This window comes from Homo sapiens, chromosome 9 (genome assembly GCF_000001405.40).
Source record: "Homo sapiens chromosome 9, GRCh38.p14 Primary Assembly".
In the NCBI taxonomy this organism is placed as follows: domain Eukaryota; kingdom Metazoa; phylum Chordata; class Mammalia; order Primates; family Hominidae; genus Homo; species Homo sapiens.
Window position 1 is genome coordinate 132,302,848 of NC_000009.12, and position 21,136 is coordinate 132,323,983.

At 40.5% G+C, this 21,136-nt stretch overlaps 1 protein-coding gene across 13 annotated transcripts in view; it reads right to left on the bottom strand.

The window, feature by feature from the left end:
- The window catches only part of SETX (senataxin), a 95,389-nt gene that overhangs the window by 41,492 nt on the left and 32,761 nt on the right, over positions 1-21,136 (bottom strand). For all 13 annotated transcript variants that reach the window (XM_005272172.4, XM_011518404.4, NM_015046.7 and 10 more), the window contains one exon: positions 8,910-9,009. In XM_005272172.4, coding sequence (XP_005272229.1) covers positions 8,910-9,009 — 100 coding nt within the window. Of the gene's footprint in view, positions 1-8,909; positions 9,010-21,136 lie in introns of those variants that run through there.

The window sequence follows — 21,136 nt, forward strand, 5'->3', positions numbered from 1 at the left end:
AAGGCAGCTATACAGATAAAGAAAACGGTGTTTAAAAGCAGACCTGCAATCAAGATCAACTGATATTCCGACAAATATGCCAAGTTATTGAATGGCAAGGTTATTCAATGAGAAAGGCTACATTTTTTTTAACAAGTAACACTAAAACTGAGCACCTATTTTTACATTGTTTTTGATTTATTTTTTTAGAGATTGGGTCTTGTTCTATCTCCCAGACTGGAATGCAGTGGTATGATCACAGCTCACTGCAGCCTTGAACACTTGGGCTCAAGAAATCCTCCTGCCTCAGCCTCCCATGTCACTGGGACTCTAGGTGTGTGCCACCATGCTCAGCTAATTTTTTTTTTTACTTTTCTGTAGAGACAGCGTCTTGCTATGTTGCCCAGACTGCTCTCAAACTCCTGGCCTGAAGTGATCTTCCTGTTTTGGCCTCCTAAAGTGCTGAGATTACAAGTATGAACCACTGCGTCTGACTTCTACCTTTAAAAAAGCAAAAAAAAAAAAAAAAACCCTTAATCCTTACATATGTCATATATAAAAATAAAATTGAAATGGTCATCAACATAAACACAAAAATTAAACCATAAAATTTAGAAAAAAAAAAATAGGAGAAAACTGTGACCGTGGGTTAGGTAAATGCTTCTTAGGATACAAAAAGCATTTTGATGGGATGCCATCAAAATCAAAACTTTTGCTCTTCAAAAGATACTGTTAGGAAAATTAAAAGGCATTCCACAGATTAGGAGTAAATATTTTCAATATATAAATATAATAAATAACTTGTCTCCAGAATATATAAAGAACTGAAAAATAAGGAAAAATAAGAGGACAAACAATCCAACTAAAAATGGAAGATACATGAAGGGGATATGTACATTGCCAGTAAGTCTGTGAAAAGATGCTCAACATTGTTAGCCATTCTAGAAAAGTAAATTAAAACCACAATGACATACTACTACACACCCGTCTGAATCACCAAAATTAAAAACACCACATGGGCGCAGTAGCTCACGTCTGTAATCCCAGCACTTTGGGAGGCCGAGGCGGGTGGTTCACCTGAGATCAGAAGTTCGAGACCAGCCTGCCCAACATGGTGAAACCCTGTTTCTACTAAAAATACAAAAATTAGTCAGGCATGGTGGGGCGCCTGTAAACCCAGCTACTTGGGAGGCTGAGGCAGGAGAATTGCTTGAACCCGGGAGGCGGAGGTTGCAGCCACTGCACTCCAGGCTGGGGCAACAGAGCAAGACTCCGTCTCAAAAAAAGAGAGCTCAGGAGCCTCAGCCAGCTCCAAATCTACCAGGAGAAGGGTAAGACGAGCTCAAGTGTGAAAACACTAATGCAGCACCCTGACAAAAATCAGAATACAGCATACAGCACAGGGTATTAATGGTCCATGGGGTTTGAACTGGCAGTACTTGAAACTCAAAGCTTCTGAGGGACAAGAGAAGAAGGGAGAAGTACCCTTTTATAACTGCATACTGTAGGTAGAACCAAAAGGGGAGAAAATTTAGGGTCCTGCAAGACCCTCAAAAGTGGAACAAACTCTGGACTTCACTACACTTGCAGAAAAGGGTGTCACTGAACTTGTAATTGTGTAAACCATCTCATTACCTCAGAAATAGAAATAAAATTAATAAATCCATATGTAAAGATTACAAAAAAAAAAAGAAAATGGAGATCCAACATACTAATGAAAATTCTCAGCCTGGGAGTTTGAGGCTGCAGTGAGCTGGGATTGCGCCACTGAACGTCAGCCTGGGCGACAGAACAAGACCCTGTTTCAAAAAAAAAAAAAAAGAAAGAAAGAAAAGAAAAAGAAAATTCTCCCCAAAACCACAACCGGGAAGGAAAAGAATACTGAATTAGGCTGGGCGCAGTGGCTCGCGCCTGTAATTTAGGCACTTTGTGGGGCCAAGGCAGGAGGATAACCTGAGGTCAGGAGTTCAAGACCAGCCTAGCCAAAATGGCAAATCCCCATCTCGATTAAAAATACAAACATTAGCCAGGCATGGTGGCACATGCCATAATCCCAGCTGCTTGGGAGGCTGAGGCAGGAGAATCGCTTGAAGCCAGGAGGCGGGATGCAGTGAGCTGAGATCACACCACTGCACTTCAGCCTGGGTAACAGAGTGAGACTCCATCTCAAAAAAAAAGAAAAAAAAGAATACTGAATTAAACATATTAGCTACTTATTTGGGGATATAAAAAACTATTTTGGGCCAGGCGCAGTGGCTCACGCCTCACCTGTAATCCCAGCACTTTGGGAGGCCGAGGCGGGCGGATCACGAGGTTAGGAGATCAAGACCATCCTGGCTAACATGGTGAAACCCCGCCATTACTGAAAATACAAAAAATTAGCCGGGCATGGTGGCGGCCGCCTGTAGTCCCAGCAACTCGGGAGGCTGAGGCAGGAGAATGGCGTGAACCCGGGAGGTGGAGCTTGCAGTGAGCTGAGATTGTGCCACTGCACTCCCGCCTGGGTGACAGAGCAAGACTCCGTCTCAAAAAAAAAAAAAAAAAACTATTTCGAACAAAAACCTCAAAAATGAAAAAAAATTTAAAAAAAATTTTTTTTTAAAAAGGACAAGAAACTGGATATTTACTCATTACAAATGAAAAAATAGTAACTTCACAGTGGAAACATGAGACGCCACCTTAACAAAGCGATGCAAGTTAGTATCACCAGCAATGAGATTTATCAACGTCATGTACCTCCCAATCTGACAGACTGAGAAGAGCACAAACTACTTCTATGTTTTTCTTGCCAAAAATGCAAAACCTGAATTTGACTCACAAGGAAATATCAGAGAAACCAAAATGGAGGGACATTCTGCAAAGTAACTGGACAGCACTCTTTAAAAACATTTAGGCCATGAAAGACAGAGAGAATGAGGACCTAAGTGTCCTAGACTGAAGGAAACTAAGAAGACATCACAACTGAATGGAATTTGTGATTCTAGATTGGACCCTGGAGCAGAAAACAGACATTTGTGGGACAAGTGGTATAATATGAATAAGGTCTAATTAGCTCTTAGTCTACACCAACATAAAACCCTGGTTTTGATCATTGTTCTGTCTTTACGTTAAGATGTTAACATTTGAGGAAACTTGGTGAAGGTTATAGGAACTCTACTAATTTTGCAATTTTTTTGAAAAATCTGCAATTATTTCAAAATAAAAAATCAATTCCTCCAAAGCAAATCCAACCCCACAGGATTCTTCATCTCCTTACTCCATCCCATGCAACTCCCTTCTCCCATAACGAGGGAACCCTGCCTCCTAACACCAGCTGTCTTATACGTTAGCTCTATTTTACAATACACAAAATCATCTAAGAATTACTAATACTAAGCCAGTTCTACTACTGACAACAAATCTCACAAATTTTGGCTGTTTTTGTCACCCAGGATGGAGTGCAATGGCGCAATCTCGGTTCACTGCAACCTCTGCCTCTTGCGTTCAAGCAATTCTCCTGCATCAGCCTCCCTAATAGCTGGGATTACAGATGTGCACCACCACACCCGGCTAATTTTGTATTTTTAGTAGAGACGAGGTTTCACCATGCTGGCCAGGATGGTCTCGAACTCCCGACCTCAGGTGATCCACCAGCCTTGGCCTCCCAAAGTGCTGGGATTGCAGGTGTGAGCCACTGTGCCCAGCCGAGTCTACTATTTCTAAAAGTACTTATATCATTTTTTTCTCTGTGGGTTATACATATGACCAATTTAAAATATAATTAGGTTCACCTACTTCAATTGTATTTCTTTTTAAGGCTTGCTTTTTAAAATTCATCTTTGTTGATTTAATTGTTCAAGTCATATATATGTAAAAAGTATACTCTAGTTCTATCAGTTTTATTTATTTATTTATTTAGAGACAGGGTCTTGTTATGTTGCCTGGGCTAGAGTGCAGTGACCATTCACATATGTGATCATAACACAGCATAGCCTCAAACTCCTGGGCTCAAGTGATCTTGCCTCAGCCTACCACGTAGCAGGGACTACAGAGGCACAGGCCACTGTGCCCAGCTCTTTATCTATTTTATTAGGTATATGCATTCAGAATTGTCATATCTTCTGTTGAACCAAAATACTCCCTTTTTATCTCAAATAATGCTTTCTGAGCTGGGCATGGTGGCTCACGCCTGTAATCCCTGCACTTTGGGAGGCCAAGGCAGGCGGGTCACCTGAGGTCAGAAGTTCAAGACCAGCCTGGCCAACATGGCAAAGCCCAGTCTCTACTAAAAATACAAAAATTAGCTGGGTGTGGTGGTGAGCACCTGTAATCCCAGCTACTGAGGAGGCTGAGGCAGGAGAATTGCTTGAACTCGGGAGACAGAAGTTGCAGTGAGCCAAGATCAGCTACTGCACTCCAGCCTGGGCGACAGAGCAAGACTCTGTCTCAAAAAAATAATAATAATAATAACAACAATAATAATGTTTTCTGCCTTAATGTCTATTTAGTTTGATATTAACAGAGCTAAATAAGTTTTTTTTTTTTAATTTGGATATGCATGGTTATCTTTTACTTACAATCTTTATGTATCCTTATATTTAGATGTATTACCCACTAACAGCATATAGCATGCCCAGATTGGTGTTGAAATACTGCTTTCAACTAAAATATAGCAAGGCTCCTTAGAAAACTGTAAGCTCAGTTATGGGATAAAAACAATATATATGATGAACTTGGAACATCTTGTCATAGCACACAGCCTCAGAGCCAACTAGAAGGAGCTGACTGAAATGGACTGAAACACAAGCACACCAATCCATGCACTCATAGTTCTTTTTTAAGCTTACCAGTCACCACTGGCACTTACTAGTGATTTTTTTTTTTTTTTTTTGAGATGGAGTCTTGCTCTGTCTCCCAGGCTGGAGTGCAGTGGCACGATCTCGGCTCACTGCAACCTCCGCCTCCAGGGTTCAAGCGATTCTCCTGCCCCGGCCTCCCTAGTAGCTGGGACTACAGGTATGCGCCACCATGCCCAGCTGATTTTTGTATTTGTAGTAGAGACGGGGTTTTGCCATGTTGGCCAGGCTGGTCTCGAACTCCTGACCTCAGGTGATCTGCCCCTCGGCCTCCCAAAGTGCTGGGATTACAGGCCTGAGCCACCGCACCCGGACTACTAGTGAATTAAACTCGTTATTCTGAAAACTGGTCAAGCAGCAAGTATTTATACTGCCTTTCCTTTATAAACTATGCTACTGAGTAACCAAATAGTAGTAGAGAATTTTCTCTCTAGAGAAGTATTCCAGCTAACATAAAATGATTAAAGTATCACCATTTTGCTCCCTTTAATGAATTAGTGACTAAGTACAAGCAGCTGTGATTATCAGAAAAAGAAACCAGATACCACGTACCTGCTGCTGCTGATGGAACATACCACCAACTATAAAATAGTTTTGCCAAAAACAAGTAACAAAAATTTACCTGAATTGGATCAATCCTCTAGTTCCAGGTATCAATATACAGGAAACACACAGAGGACAGAGACACATTCTAAACACCACCAAGGGGATGCAATATCAGCAAAATCCAGACCATGATTAACTCTATAAAACTAATTTTTCAACAAAAAAATTGCAAGGGAAGAAAATGAGAGAATTCTAGTTTAAAAAGACCTATCAACCAATGCCATTGGGTGGACTACTTTGGATCTTAAGCTGAAAAAAAGTGTTATGAGATAACTGAAAATTTGAACACTGACTGATATGAAGGGATTATTGGTAACTTTTTAGGTATGACTTATTTTTAAGCTCTTATTTTTTAGAGATAGTCACTAACATAGTCACTAACTGAAGATGACATGCAAAACCTCTCCACAGAAAACTATAAAACACTGAGAAAAATTTAACCTAAATAACTGAAGATATATACCTTATTCATGAATTAGAAAGTATTAAAAGTTGTCAATTCTTCCCAAATTTCCACTTCTTTTCCTCTAAAATTTATATGGAAATGCAAAGGGCCAAGAATAGCCAAAGCACTCAAAAAGTAGAGCAAGGTAGGAGGGGTGAGGCGCCGTGGCTCACACCAGCACTTTGGGAGGCCAAGACGGGCAGATAACTTGAGGCCAGGAGCTTCAGACCAGCCTGGCCAATAGGTGAAACCCCGTCTCCACTAAAAATACAAAAATTTGCCAGGCATAGTGGTGCACACCTGTAGTCCTAGCTACTCGGGAGGTTGAGGCAGGAGAATTGCTTGAACCCGGGAAGCAGAGGTTGCAGTGAGCCAGGATCGCGCCACTGCACTCCAGTCTGGGCGACAGAGCAAGATTCCATCTCAAAAAACAGAACAAACAAAACAAAACAAGGTAGGAGGACTTGCTCTGTGAGTTATTAAAACTTCTTATAAAGCTAGATTAAGTAAACAATGTGATATGAGCCCAAGGGTAGGCAAATGATCTCAAGAAGAACAGACTGATGCCCAGACATTAAGTGGACTCCAGACGCATGACAAACATAGCAGTGCAGTGAAGCACAAATGGTCTTTCAATAAATAGTACTGGGATAATCAGACCTCTACTTGGGGGAAAAAAAAAAAATGGAACCCAACCCACATGCCTCAGTCAGAAACAAAACAAGAAAGCTTCTAGAAAAGGGGTTCCCAAATTTCCTCTGTAAAGGGCCAGATAGGCTTGTGGGGCCACACATAATGCCTGTTACATACTCTTTTTTATAGAGCTTTAAAAACGTAAAAACCAGCTGGGCGAGGTGGTTCACACCTGTAATCCCAGCACTTCAGAAGGCTGATGACACAGGAGGATCACTTGAGACCAGGAGTTTGAGATCAGCCTGGGCAACGGCACAAGACCCCATCTCTATATTTAAGAAAGAAAAAAAAAAGGGGGAACATAAAAAATGTACCCTAGGGCAATACAAAATCAATACATGGGGTAGGTGGATCTGCGAGCTGTAGTTTGCTAACCTTTGTTCTAGAAGGTAAGAGAGATCCTGATCCATGGGTGATGGGGGTGGGGGCAAAGGAAGGCAAGAGAATGTAATTTGCAACCTGTAGCAGAGAAAGATTTCTTACTCTTCATTTAAGAAACGGGACACAGAGCACTGACAATAAAAGACTGATGTATTTACTATGTTCAAATAAGCAATTCTCAATAAGAATGAAAAAGAAATTTTTAAGACATCACTAAAAAGAGTCAGTATGTAAGTCAAAGTGAGGAAATGACTTCTACCCAGATTATATAAAGAACTCCTACAAATCAACTGAAAAAAAGACAACAGAAAATGACCAAAAGCCTTGAACAGGCACTTTCCAAAAGAGGTTACTGAGACAGCTACTAAATATGTGAAAAGATGCTCAATCTCCCTAATGAGGACATTACAAAAGCCCACAAAACACCATCAATACACACAGCCCAACAGCTAAAAATCTCAAAACAATCTATACAAATGTGTTGCTGAAGACACAGAAAAATGCAACTTCTCATATACTGCTGGTGGAATATAATTTTGTACAATAGGCTTGGCATTATTTACTGAAGTTGAACTTATACACACCCTAATATTCCACAATCTACTTCTGGATATAAACTTAACAAAAATGCATTCAGAAGAACACTAAGAGATACATGGGTGATCATAGTAGCATTATTCATAACATGCTGTGCAGAAAAGAGTTAACATAGCAGGCATGCTATCCTTCAAAAGACCTGCTTGCGAGGCTGCCCCTTGGCTGGTATCTAGGAACTTAGATTTTAGGACAGTTCTCATCATTCCCTAATAAAAATGGCTCACTGTTACTAAACCATGTGTGAAAATGATAAGTTCCTGCCAAACATCCGCTTTCTTTCTGCTTTGTGGCTATTGCATCTCAATGTACAGCTGACAATTGAACATGAGTTTGAAGTGCACAGGTCCACTAATTCATAGATTCTTCTCCATCTCTGCCACTCCTGAGAGAGCAAGACAAATCCCTCCTCCTCTTCATCTATCTACTGAGTGTGACGATGATAAAGATGTAGACCTTTATGATGATCCGTTTCACTTAATGAATAAATATATCTTCTCTTCCTTATGATTTTAGTTTCTTTTCTTTAGCTTTATTGTAAGAATACAGTACATAATACATGTAACATATAATTGTAGTTGTTGTTTTTTGTTTTTGTTTTGTTTTGTTTTTGAGACAGTCTCTGTGCCAGGCTGGAGTGCAGTGGCGCTATTTCGGCTCACTGCAAACTCCACCTCCCTGGTTCAAGTGATTCTCCTGCCTCAGCCTCCCAAGTAGCAGGGACTACAGGCACCCGCCACCATGCCTGGCTAATGTTTGCATTTTTAGTAGAAACGGGGTTTCACCATGTTGGCCAGGACGGTCTCGATCTCTTGACCTGGTGATCCCCGCCCGCCTCGGCCTCCCAAAGTGCTGGGATTACAGGCATGAGCCACCGCACCCAGCCTCATTTTTTTTTAAGCACATCTACAGAGGAGGATGGATGGGGGTTGGGGGTAAAAAGAGGACTTATTCATTTTATTTTAAAGAGTTCTGAATGTTTGGTGTATTTATAACTAGTATATAAAAGTGGTATGTGGTTCGGATCAATCATGAAATGAAAAGACAGATGCCAGGAAGATTTACTCAGAATCTGTAAAGACTATTATGCAACACCCCCACCAAATCCCTCCACTCACCCTCTCTCCCATTCCCAGCCCCCACTGACAATTCAGCCTGTAGTATTCTAACTACAGAGTGGGGAAAAAAATCATAAATTTTACATTCATAATTGTTCCAGTAACTATCCTCATTAAGACTTTAAGCATATTCTAAGAAGTCACAAATTTAGCTTAGAAAATTTGTGTCCCCCTAAATTCAAATAATGCTATCTCCTCTTAATTAGAAATCTCCAATTATTATATCATATATTCCAAGTTGCGTAAGAAAAAACTTACCTGCAAACTCCCAGTATTTTATATAATCGGCAGGAAATTTTCGTACTTGCAACTGATAGAAATTCTCTCTATTTGGAGAGTTGAGCCATTCTTGTGCCACCTATACAAAGCACAAAAGCAAATTAAGAAAGCAACATTCTGGAAAGTGATGCTAAATAGTAACATTTTCCAAAGTTAAGCAACAGTAAAATCCAGAAGCTAGAATCTAGGTGACAAAAACTAAAAATTGATTCACGGCAGGTTAATACAATTATCTGGAACTGTCCTGCCCAATTCAGTAGCCACTAGCTACATCTGGTTATTTACATTTAATAAAAATGTTAAAAAATAAAAATTCTGTTCTTCAAACTAGTCACACTTGCAGTGCTCAACAGCCACCTGTGGCTGCTCCGCTGTGGGCAGATGTGGAGCATTTCCAGCAGTGCATAACGTACTGCTGGACAGCTCCGGTAGAATGCTACTTCCCAACCAGATCAGCTAGCTCACAAGTCCAAAAGGACCTAGATTTGTGGCAGACCTTAGGGATTTCTCACCAACATGTCATCCTGCCAGTTTATAAAATGCTCTATACCCATCTCCCAGTCTGTCAAAGCTCCAAACTCAGAAGTACCCTTAAGGATCTTCTGAGAAATAAGACTATTCCCAATCCCAAATTTAGGAAGACTACTAGTATAAAAAAGTCATATTAGCTTTCACTTTTTAAAAAACTAACAAATATATTACCTTTTGGGCCCTAAGGAGGGTTTTGTCTAAATGTAACAGTTAGTCATTAAGTATTTAAATCAACAAATAGTCTTTCAGTTCCTCTGAAGAAACTTATCCTCAAAGACTATTGGTGTTGAACTGCTTCTGCACTGGTTAACCAACCAAGACTCCACAAGGGTTATGCTATGGACAGGGGAACAAAACAATACTGAATCTGTGTTATCTGCTAGTAAGGTCAGACTCTGGACCATGATAGTCATGATCAGTTTGTATCACCCAGAATACCCTACAGTAAGGCAACTCCATAGAATCATCATCAAAAGTGCATTTTATGTTCACAGCATTATTTACAATCACCAAAATGTGGAAACAACCCAAATGTCCATCAGTTGGTGAATGCATAAACAAATGTAATATATCCATACAATAGAATCTCATTTGGCAATAAAAAGCCATGGCCTATTAATACATGCTACAAGGATAGGCCTCAAAAAGATTACATGGAGTGAAAGGAGCCAGATTCAAGAGACCACATATGTACACTTCTATATACATGACATTTCCAGAAGAGGCAGATTTATAGACAGACGAGAGATTAGTGTTTGACTCGGGCTAGTGGTAGGAATGAAGAATGACTACCAATGGGCAGAAAGGATTGTTTTAGGTCAACAGAAATGTTCTAAAACTGGGTTGTGGTGATGGCTATACAACTATAAATTTACTTAAAAAAACCATTCAATTATACACCTTAAAAGGGTATATTTTATGGTATAGTATACCTTAATAAAGCTGTTAAAATGCATCCTAGTGTGTACAACAAAGATAAAAAAAATGGATCACTAAAATTTTATCACAAGAGATTTACCTGAGAGTACCTAGAAGATCCTAGATAGTTCCCATCTTGGAAAAAGGAGGGCAGATACTTTTAGTTTGAAATTATTTGGGCCTAATATTAACTTCTACAGCAACCCCAGGAGCCAGAGATTAAGTGGATCTCTTATAGTCAAGCTACAATGACCGATTAATGATAGCTGAAATTCTGGAGCTATCAAAGAGAAACTTAGCTAGGTAAAAAGTCCTAATTAACATATACTCAATATACTACATAATTCACAGGTTTGTGTATTTGATGCAGTTACAGGTTTATCTGTTTCATAACTCATGTGGCCTTGGGAAATTAAGAAATCATAAATTGCATGAGCTAGTAGTTTCACACTAAATGAAATAACTTCAAAGTACAAACAAGTGTATGTTTGTGGTCCATCAGAGCATTATCAAAGTTAAAAGTAATCAACCAGGTTCAGAGGATGAAAAATCATGCAGATGGTTAGAAAACATACTCCTTTCAAAAGGTGTCAGCTGCTGTAAAAAAAAAAACAATAAAAAGAAAACAAGCTCCCTGAACATAAGAACATTTAGAATACACTGAACAGAGATGAATATACAATGTGGCCTTCCAAGTTTTTTGGTTTTTTTTTTTGTTTTTTGAGATGCAGTTTCAGTCCTATTGCTCTGGCTGGAGTGCAATGGCACCATTTCCGCTCACTGCAACCTCCGCCTCGTGGGTTCAAGCGATTCTCCCGCCTCCGCCTCCCATTAGCTGGGAATACAGGCATGCGCCACCATGCCCAGCTCACTTTTTTTTTTGGAGACAGAGTTTCGGTCTTGTTGCCCAGGCGGGAGTGCAATGGTGCGATCTCGGCTCACCACAACCTCCACCTCCCAGGTTCAAGTGATTCTCCTGCCTCAGCCTCCCAAGTAGCTGGGATTACAGGCGCCCACCACCACGCCTGGCTAATTTTGTATTTTTAGTAGAGACAGAGTTTCTCCATGGTCAGGCTGGTCTTGAACTCCTGACCTCAGGTGATCCACCTGCCTCAGCCTCCCAAAGTGCTGGGATTACAGGCATGAGCCACCGTGCCCGGCCCACATTTTGTATTTTTAGTAGAGACAGCGTTTCACCATGCTGGCCAGCTGGTCTCAAACTCCTGACCTGAGGTGATCTACCCACCTCGGCCTCCCAAAGTGCTGGGATTACAGATGTGAGCCACCAAGCCCGGCTAGCTTTCCAAGTATTAAAGGTCAGTGGTAATAATGTAACAATCTCATAAAGCACTATCACTTCAAAGAAGCAAACTATGTTCCTTTTCTTCCCACTCCAGACATGAACGACAGATATCCAGTTAGGCCTCATCTTCAAAGGAGGTCTGAGTTCTCTTTTTTCCCAGTAACTAAGAATAGATTATTCTACAAAACTGGAGGTTCCTAATAATTTAGTAATTTAACATTTTTCAGATCAAATAGTTGAATATTATGTTTTGATAAAAATACTTCCACATAGACTAAATACACTGTTTGGTTATAATGAGGTTTCTTTTTTGTGTGTGTGACCCCAAGAAAATTCTCTTTAAAAAAAATTATTATTATTATTATTATTTTATTGTGTTTTTTTTTTTTTTTTTTTTTTTGGAGACAGGGTCTTGCTCTGTTGCCCAGGCTGGAGTACAGTGGCACGATCTCAGCTCACTGCAACCGCCACCTCCCGGGTTCAAGCAATTCTCCTGCCTCAGCCTCCTGAGTAGCTGGGATTACAGGCACGTGCCACCACGCCCGGCTAATTTTTGTATTTTTAGTAGAGACAGGGTTTCACCAAAGTTGGCCAGGCTGGTCTCAAACTCCTGACCTCAAGTGATGATCCGCCTACTGTGGCCTTCCCAAGTGTTGGGATTACAGGCGTGAGCCACTGTGCCTGGCCAAAATATTACATTATTAAAACAACAGCTGTTTCACTGGGGAAAAGAAGTTCCTGCAGCACTGGCTCCCAATAACCAAGACTGTCCTTGACTTACATAAGACAGCCAAACACAAACCCCAAAACAGACAAAGCAACTGACATTCATCTCCATGTCCTGTCCCCTTTCAATACAAAAGTCTAAGGCAAACTCACTGATTTCTGTCCTGGAGCCCTCTTCCTTTGAGGACTTAAACTCCTAGAGTTATCCATTTTCTTGCATCAATTTCTTCCTGCCCATTGCTCATTCCCATCAGCATACACACTGAATTCGCTCTAAGAACACTCTGCCACCAATAAACAAAACCCTTCCTTGTCTCCAAATGACCATTCAGCTTAGTGCCCCCTTTTTCCTGCTCCCAATCAATATGTATGTTTTCAAAACACTCCTTCCACTCACTTCTTTGTACATCTGGTTTCCAACTTAACCACTGCTGCACAAAAATTGTCCACCCATCAAACTCAATGATGACCTCCTTGCTGTTATTCTTCCTTACCCATCTCAGGTAGAGCTAATCCAAATCTCCGGTTCGTGATGCAGTGTCAGGAGTCTATGCAAGGCCCTCATCATTTGATTTCTCCTTCGTCCCTGATTCCACTTCCATGACAACCTCCACCCTAGGTATCCACTACAGCTGTGTTAGTATAACCGAAAAATCCAGAAGGGGGGTGTGTGAGAGATTTAGACAAATGGTAATCTACCATAAACTAGGTGTTTTGTTTTTTCAACCAACTTTTAAGTCTTCTGGGACTGACTCACATAGTACTCTTTAGTATGTAATGGCTTCATTTTACTCATCCATCCTTTTAACCAGCTCCAACTCTATATCCTATAAATGACATCCTAAGACATAGAACCCTCATAGACAGGCGTGTATATGTTCTTCTGACGAGGCTACGCAGGAATAAGACTGCTAGATCATAAAGGATCACAAACTTTTGCTCACCTGTTATTTTAACTTCCTTTCCTCCTTTCAGTAACACTTCATATACTTATTACCACCAAGTTTTCTGCAAACTATTTGTTGTCCATCTTCTACTGATTTCCCTGTTTTTTGCTGTCGATTTACAAAAGTGCTTTGTGGGTTTTAGCTACTAATCTCTTGCCAGTTTAGGAATGTTTTAAAACTCTCTTCTTCACATCTGTTAACTCCAAATATAGAGTCCTTCACTAAAAAGACATTAACTTTGACAGAATAAAATCCATTAATATTCATTAATCCATTAATGTGGCTAATGCTTTTTATGTTTTTATGATTACCTTCATCACCTAAACTGACATTTTGATATTTTCTTCGTTTAGTTTTACTTTCCAAACATATGTGATTTAACCAAAGTTTATGTGCTATAAAGTACGAATCTTAGCCTAATTTGCTTTTTCCCCAATGAAGCAGGCCAGTTTCCTCTAACGATCCATCCTTTCCCCACTGATTTGTGATGTCCTATTTATCTCGTTTTATCTAAGATTGACACATATGCAAGAAGGAGTTCCTTCTTAGGAGCCAAAGGGTCTCCCACTGTTTCTCCGGGTATCCGCCTGCCCCGTGCCACTCTCGTATGTGTCTATTACTATGGCTTTGAAACAGCTTCGTAGCAGATAAAGCAACTATCATTCCCCCCATGCCCTAGTTATGCTGTTCTTTTCAAAGTGACTTTATTATAATAGATTTTGCTTTTCCTTACAAATTATAAAATAAGCCTATCAATCACCTCAAAACAATCCTGCTGGGATTTTAACTTGAACTACATCAAATTTATAAATGAATTCAGAAAGAAGTCACATCTTTACAATGTGAAGCTATCACATCCATGAACATAGCGCTCTCCATTTTGAACAAGACTAAACATCTTCCTTTATCACCTTTAAAATAGTTGTAAAGTGTTTTCCATAAGTGTCTCATGCATTCATCATTAGACTAGTTACTAACAGGTGTGCAGTTCCAGTTCCTGTGCTATCTTCTTCCATGTTTCCTAACTGGCTACTGCTGCCACAGGGACACTACGTATTTTTTTGCACATCCATCTTGTGCCCAAATATGGATGCTGCTGGGGTTTCTGTGTAGGTCATCTGCAAATGATCAGAATCGTGTCTCCTCCAATTATTTCATTGCTCCATTTTTGTCATTTTAATGAACTGTATCACTGAATATCTGTAGCAGCTGTCATCTACAACTGTTCCATCAATTGTTGCTTCGTACATTTTGAAATTATTATATACATACATGTTCACAATCAATTATATACGCTTGGGTAACTGTTCCTTTCACTGATATCTAGTGTCTTTGCCCCTCTGAATTGTTCTCATGTTAAAGTAAATGTTGATTGTAAAAGTGCAACTCCAGCTTTCTTTGGTTCATGTTTGTTTGCCGTATCATTTTCCTTTTTTTTTTTAAAGGGACAGGGTCTCACTTTGTTGTCCAGGCTGGTCTCAAGCTCCCAGGCTCAAACGATCCTCTGGCCTCTGCCTCCCAAAATGCTGGTATTACAGGCATGAGCCACTGTACCTGGCCATCTTTTTCCATTCTTTCATCTTAAACCTTTCTAGCTTTTTTTTATTTCTGGCAGGTAACATTGTTCCTGGAACTTATGATTTTAAATACATTCTAAAGGTCTCAATATAACTGCTTATGTATACACTTATTCAGTTATATTCCCTTGGCATTAAAAGCCCTCTCAATCTCAACTCTCAACTCCTTCTCCATTTCTAAGAAAATCTTGGTCTTAATTTATCACTTTTTTCTCTCCGAGATCCTTATTACACATATATTAACACTTCTCTATCCACTTTATTGCTTTTTCTTGTCTATTTTCTGCTTCTATCCTTTCGTGATAACTTGTGGGAGATCTGAGTGGACATTCTAGCTTGCCTACACGTTCTTCAGTTGTATCCACATACTATCCACTCCATTTCCTGAGTTCTCTAATGATTGTGTCCTCTATCCCCAACTAGCTCCTGTTTGTTGTTCTTTATGGTTTCTCCTTCTTGCTTCATGTTTCTAGCATGCTCTATTTTTTCGAGAATATTTAATATGCTTATAGCTAAATTTTATTCTGACTATTCCAATAATTTTGCTTTACCTGCTCCATGTTGTTCGGTTTGTTACTTTTCTCTTATAGTGACTACACTCCAGACAGGAAATGCAGATGTTCCCCTCTGAATTCATACTCCCCAGGGAGACCAGGCACATCAGCTACAAAGGAACACTGCAGGAACAAGGGGCTACAGCCTAGCATCACCTAGCTTTTGTATCTCTACTGATGAGTAGGGTAGAGAGTCATGGGGATACAACTCTGGGAGTAAGCATTTCAGTATTACAATCTCTAAGTCTACCCTGATACTTACCTTTCTGAATTCTCACTTCCTTGGTTACAATAATTCAGCCCTAGGGATGGGAGGGAACAAGTGAACTTTCAAGAACCAAGCAATCCAACTATATCCACTGTTAGTTATTCCTCACAGGAGCTGGGATACAATGCCACTCTAATGCTACCCACTGCAGACATGAGCTAGTTCCAACTTTTCTGCCCTGCACCACAAGGTAACATAAGGGTAGTACTCTAGCCCAGGGTAATGAGGGGAAGAAAAAAGGGGGAAAACCTAAGAAATTCTTTTCTACTTTAATTCCCATCTATAGGAATTCTAGTCTGCTCTACTTACTATTTCCTTCCCATCCCAAGAACCCAATCACATCCTAGGCTGCCGCACAGTTTCTCACAATATGTATCAGTTTAACATCTTCAACTACACTCCCTGGCTTCAGCAATGTCACTCCCAAAAGAGAGGGCCATTAGCCCGTGATCATTTGACATCAAGTAAACAGCATCACAATCTAACCAGATGCTTAAGCCAAAAACTTCAGAATCATCCTCCCTTCTTAACTCCCACATCAGTTCTATCACCAAGTCTTCTAAGTACTCTCTCCAAAATTTACCCCCAATATATTGAATTCCTCTCCATTTCTACAGCTCCCACCCAAATCAAGCCACCATCACCTTTCTCCTGGGCTACTATAGTAGCCCCTTGACTGGTCAACTGCATTTATGCTTACCTTTCTAAAGATTACTCTCCACAGCAACAGCAAATGGTGTGTAAAAAACGTAAACTGGTTACTATTACTATTCCCCCAGTCTAAATGACCAACCAAATAAAAATCTTTCAGTACCTTCTCACTGAACTGAGAATGAAATATCAACCTGCAGCTTACAGCGCTGTATCTGGCTCTCATTTCTCCAATCTTATTTCATTTCTCTTTACCCCTTATCAGCTACTTCACTTCGGCCATACCAGCCTAATCTCTTTCTTCGTTAAGACTCAGTTCCCATCTCATGGCATTACATTCTTGACATTCCACCCCACCTCCTGAACAATACTTTCTTCTTCTGGATGTCAGCCAGGTCTCAAGAGCAGCCTCCCAATATTGCCACTCACAACAATTCATCATTTCTGCCTATTTGTTTCCTTCACAGAACTGATTACAATCTGAAATTAGCCAAAGCATCCATAGCCATACCACCCTAAATTCACCCAATCTTGTCTGAAATTAGCCACAGAAATAGAGCCATCTCCCTACTGGGCACTGAGAATCCAAGTTAGTGCCTAATGGTACTAAGTTAGTGTCTAAGGGTACTCCTTGCCTGCCTGCTCCCTGTCCATGCAACCTACAATGACCTCTACACAGGAGAGGCAACAGTAGAGGACTGCAGATAACAGAAAGCATATCTAAGTTTTAAAATAAAAGAGCATTTGCCACAACTGACTGCAAAAAATTGGCCCCTGGCAAAACAGTGCACATGTATCCAATTAACACTTTTATGTGTTAAATACAAGGATTAAAAAAAAAATTCTTCTTCCCGTCACATCAATATACAAAAGACTCATTTCTAAAAGTTGAATCTGTTCTCATTTGTCTTTCGTAAGAGATAATTCTACGTAATGTCACTACATTCCACTTGCAATAAAACATAACCAAATAATTAAATCTATGTTTCAGGTTCTAAATAGGATATAAACCAAATTTGGTAACCCCAAAAAAAAAGTCTAGGCCGGGCGCAGTGGCTCACGCCTGTAATCCCAGCACTTTGGGAGGCTGAGGCGAGCAGATCACAAGGTCAGAAGATTGAGACCATCCTGGCTAACACAGTGAAACCCCGTCGCTACTAAAAATACAAAAACAAAAATTAGCCAGACGTGGTGCCGGACGCCTGATGGCGGGCGCCTGTAATCCCAGCTACTCGGGAGGTTGAGGAGGGAAAATGGTGTGAACCCGGGAGGCAGAGCTTGCAGTGAGCCAAGATCGCACCACTGCACTCCAGCCTGAGCAACAGAGCGAGACTCCAACTCAAAAAAAAAAAAAAAAAAAAAAAAACTAAACAAGGCACCTTAATACCACCAATAATTATTGGCCTGTATAAACCAGAAATGCTTAAATAAGACGGTTGAAATCGTATGGTTAAAAAGAAAGGTGTAACTTCAAAGTAGATTGAACACACACCATTTCCTTCCCTCCTGAAACCCCACTAAAACACCAAAGAGATTTTAAAAAACAGCATTGACCAATTAGAACAAAAAGGACAGAAGAGGAGACAACAGTAACCACACTTTGGAAGCTGCAAAGCAGAGGGATGAATGGAACTAACTCAGCAAGCCCAAGAACGTGAACTCCAACTGGGAAGCAACAGCTCTCTCTAGAAGGATGGCTGGAGGGCAACTGTTCCTCCCTGGTCCCAGCAAAAAATGACAAGAGATTTTGTCTCTAGAGAGGATAAGCAGTCTCTGACCTTGAGGACAGCAAGGATGAGGATGAGATAGTAGTAAATGTTTACACACTGAATGCTCCAACACCTCTCCTCCGTCCCCCACTCCTACCCAGCCCTCTTCCCACACTCAGCTCCCTGCCACGCCTACATTTCCCAGGTAAAATATGTGACGATTCTTTTTTGGGAACTGAGACCTGACAGGAAAAATAAAGACTAAAGACATTGGGAGGCCGGGCGCGGTGGCTCACGCCTGTAATCCCAGCACTTTGGGAGGCCAAGGCGGGTGGATCACCTGAGGTCAGGAGTTTGAGACCAGCCTGACCAATATGGCAAAACCCCACCTCTACTAAAAACACAAAACTTAGGGCTGGGCGCGGTAGCTCACACCTGTAATCCCAGCACTTTGGAAGGCCGAGGTGGGTGGATCAAGATGTCAGGAGATCGAGACCATCCTGGCCAACATGGTGAAACCCCGTCTCTACTAAAAAATACAAAAAATTAGCCAGGCATGGTGGCAGGCACCTATAGTCCCAGCTACTTGGGAGGCTGAGGCAGGAGAATGGCATGAACCCAGGAGGCGGAGCTTGCAGTGAGCTGAGATCATGCCACTGCACTCCAGCCTGGGCAACAGAGCGATACTGTCTCAAAAAAAAAAAAAAAAAAACTACAAAAAAAAAAACCCACAAAAATTAGCCGGGTGTGGTGGTGTGCACCTGTAGTCCCAGCTACTCAGGAGGCTGAGACAGGAGAAATGCTTGAACCCAAGAGGCAGAGGTTGCGGTGAGCCGAGATCGTGCCACTGCACTCCAGCCTGGGCAACAGAGTGAGACTCCGTCTGAAGAAAAAAGAAAAAGAAAAAGAAAAAAAGACATTGATTGACATAATGGTGGGGTGGGGCTTCCTAATGAAGTGCCAATGGTCAACAAGCCCACCCTTTCACTCAGAGCTTCTGGTGTTTTCATCTTTTATATATATAACAAAATACAGATTATAACTGCACCTAAGCACAAAACCTTACCATGAAGAATGAAACTAATGCTGGGTTTTACCCTGCTATGGCGCCCTTCAGATCACGTTTGCCTTCCAGAGTGCAACCATAAAGAGGCTCGTTTTTGTAAAAGTATCTGAAGATTTCATGTTTTCCTAGGCATCTTTTTTAACCTATTGCTAATCAAATTTATTCTCTTTTTAAAGTAATATTTTTTAAATGGAGACGGTATTTCATACAACATAAAACTCACCATTTTAAAGTGTACGTCTCAGTGGTTTTTAGTACTATGGTTTTATTTACTATGCTGTGCAACCATCACCACTACCTAATTCCGCACCATTTCCATCACCCCAAAAGAAACACTGTACCTATCAGCAATCCCAATTCCCCCCTCCTTCCTTCCCCTGACTACTACTCATCTTTCTGTCTCTACAGATTTGCCTATTCTGGACAATACATATGAACGGAATCATATAATATGTGACCTTCTGTCCCTGACTTATTTCACTTAGCACAATGTTTTCAAGGTTCATTAGTGAACACAGATCTTCACTTCTTTTTATGGCTGAATAATATTCCATTCATTGTATGAACAGACCTGTTTATCCATTCATCAACTGACACACATTTGGGTTGTTTCCACTTTTTGGCTACCATGAATAATGTTCCAATCTACTCTTTAGTTTCCTGTTCTTAAATGTGAGTAGACCACCAGAAATCATTACCACCTGAAAAAAGGAATTAACAGAAAGGACTATAAACACTAAAATGAACAGGAAAAACCAACTGGGGAAACACGAACCATGCAAAAAGAGAAAAACTTTTAGCTAACTTTAAAATTATCATAAACTTTAGCTAATAAAAAATACCACATCCATGAAATAGAATAAAGGACTATTCAGAGAACAAGAGTTCCAGGAAACTAAAAATACGCTAAAAAGGATTCAACGGACTTAGGAGAAAAGTTGAGGTGGCCTCCAAGAAAGGATAACAAAAAGAAAATGAGATGAAAGATAGAAAAAATTAAAGAAAATGAGAAGATTAAAGAAATTCTAAGACATGCAAGATTTCAAAAATGTACCTCTCATATATCCTCTTCTCTGGAAGCCTGAAGGACAGGCCTCGCTAACATGAGTAACCAAGAAAGATGACGGGGGTGGAGGAGATACAGACCCAACCCAAGGATAAGGACTACTATTTCAGGAATATCATCATGCACCACACACAGAACAAATTTATAGATTAACTAACGTACCTGATCATGAGCGATTTAAACATTCAAGAAAAGACATCCTGGCATTAATTTAGTGATAAGTAGAAAATTAAATAAACATATAAAACAATAAATCCAAGGAAAACACAGAGTTTGGAAGGAAATGGAAAGGCAATTACAGCATACTACATGGCTTAGCTGAAGATATCTTTCACATAGTCAAAATAACAAAAATGGATCTAAAAATTTCAAGACAATCCCATAATGAGGGTGAGGGAACAGGAAGAGTGTGTGCAAGGGTTGGGCTGGAAATGGGGGTAGTTCCTGAAGCAGGAAACAGAAACGCCTAAAACTGAAAAATCAAGGAGTTACAATATGGACATGTTATTCAGAAATATGGAAGGAAGGCCAGGCGGGATGGCTCACGCCTGTAATCGTAGCACTTTGAGAGGCAAAGGCAGGTGGATCACTTGAGCCCAGTAGTTTGAGACCAGCCTAGGCAACATGGGAAAAACTCTGCCTCTACTAAAAATACAAAAATTAGCTGGACATTATGGTGTGAGCCTGTAGTCCCAGTTATTCAAGAGGCTGTGGTGGAAGGACTACCAGAGGCCAAGAGGTTGAGGCTGCAGTGAGCCATAATTGTGCCACTGTACTCCAGCCTGGGGGACAGGAGTGAGACCCTGTCTCCAAAAAAGAAAAAAAAAAGATAAAAATGGAAAGAAATTTCCAAAGGACTCATTAAGAATAGAAAATAGTTACTTGAGGGG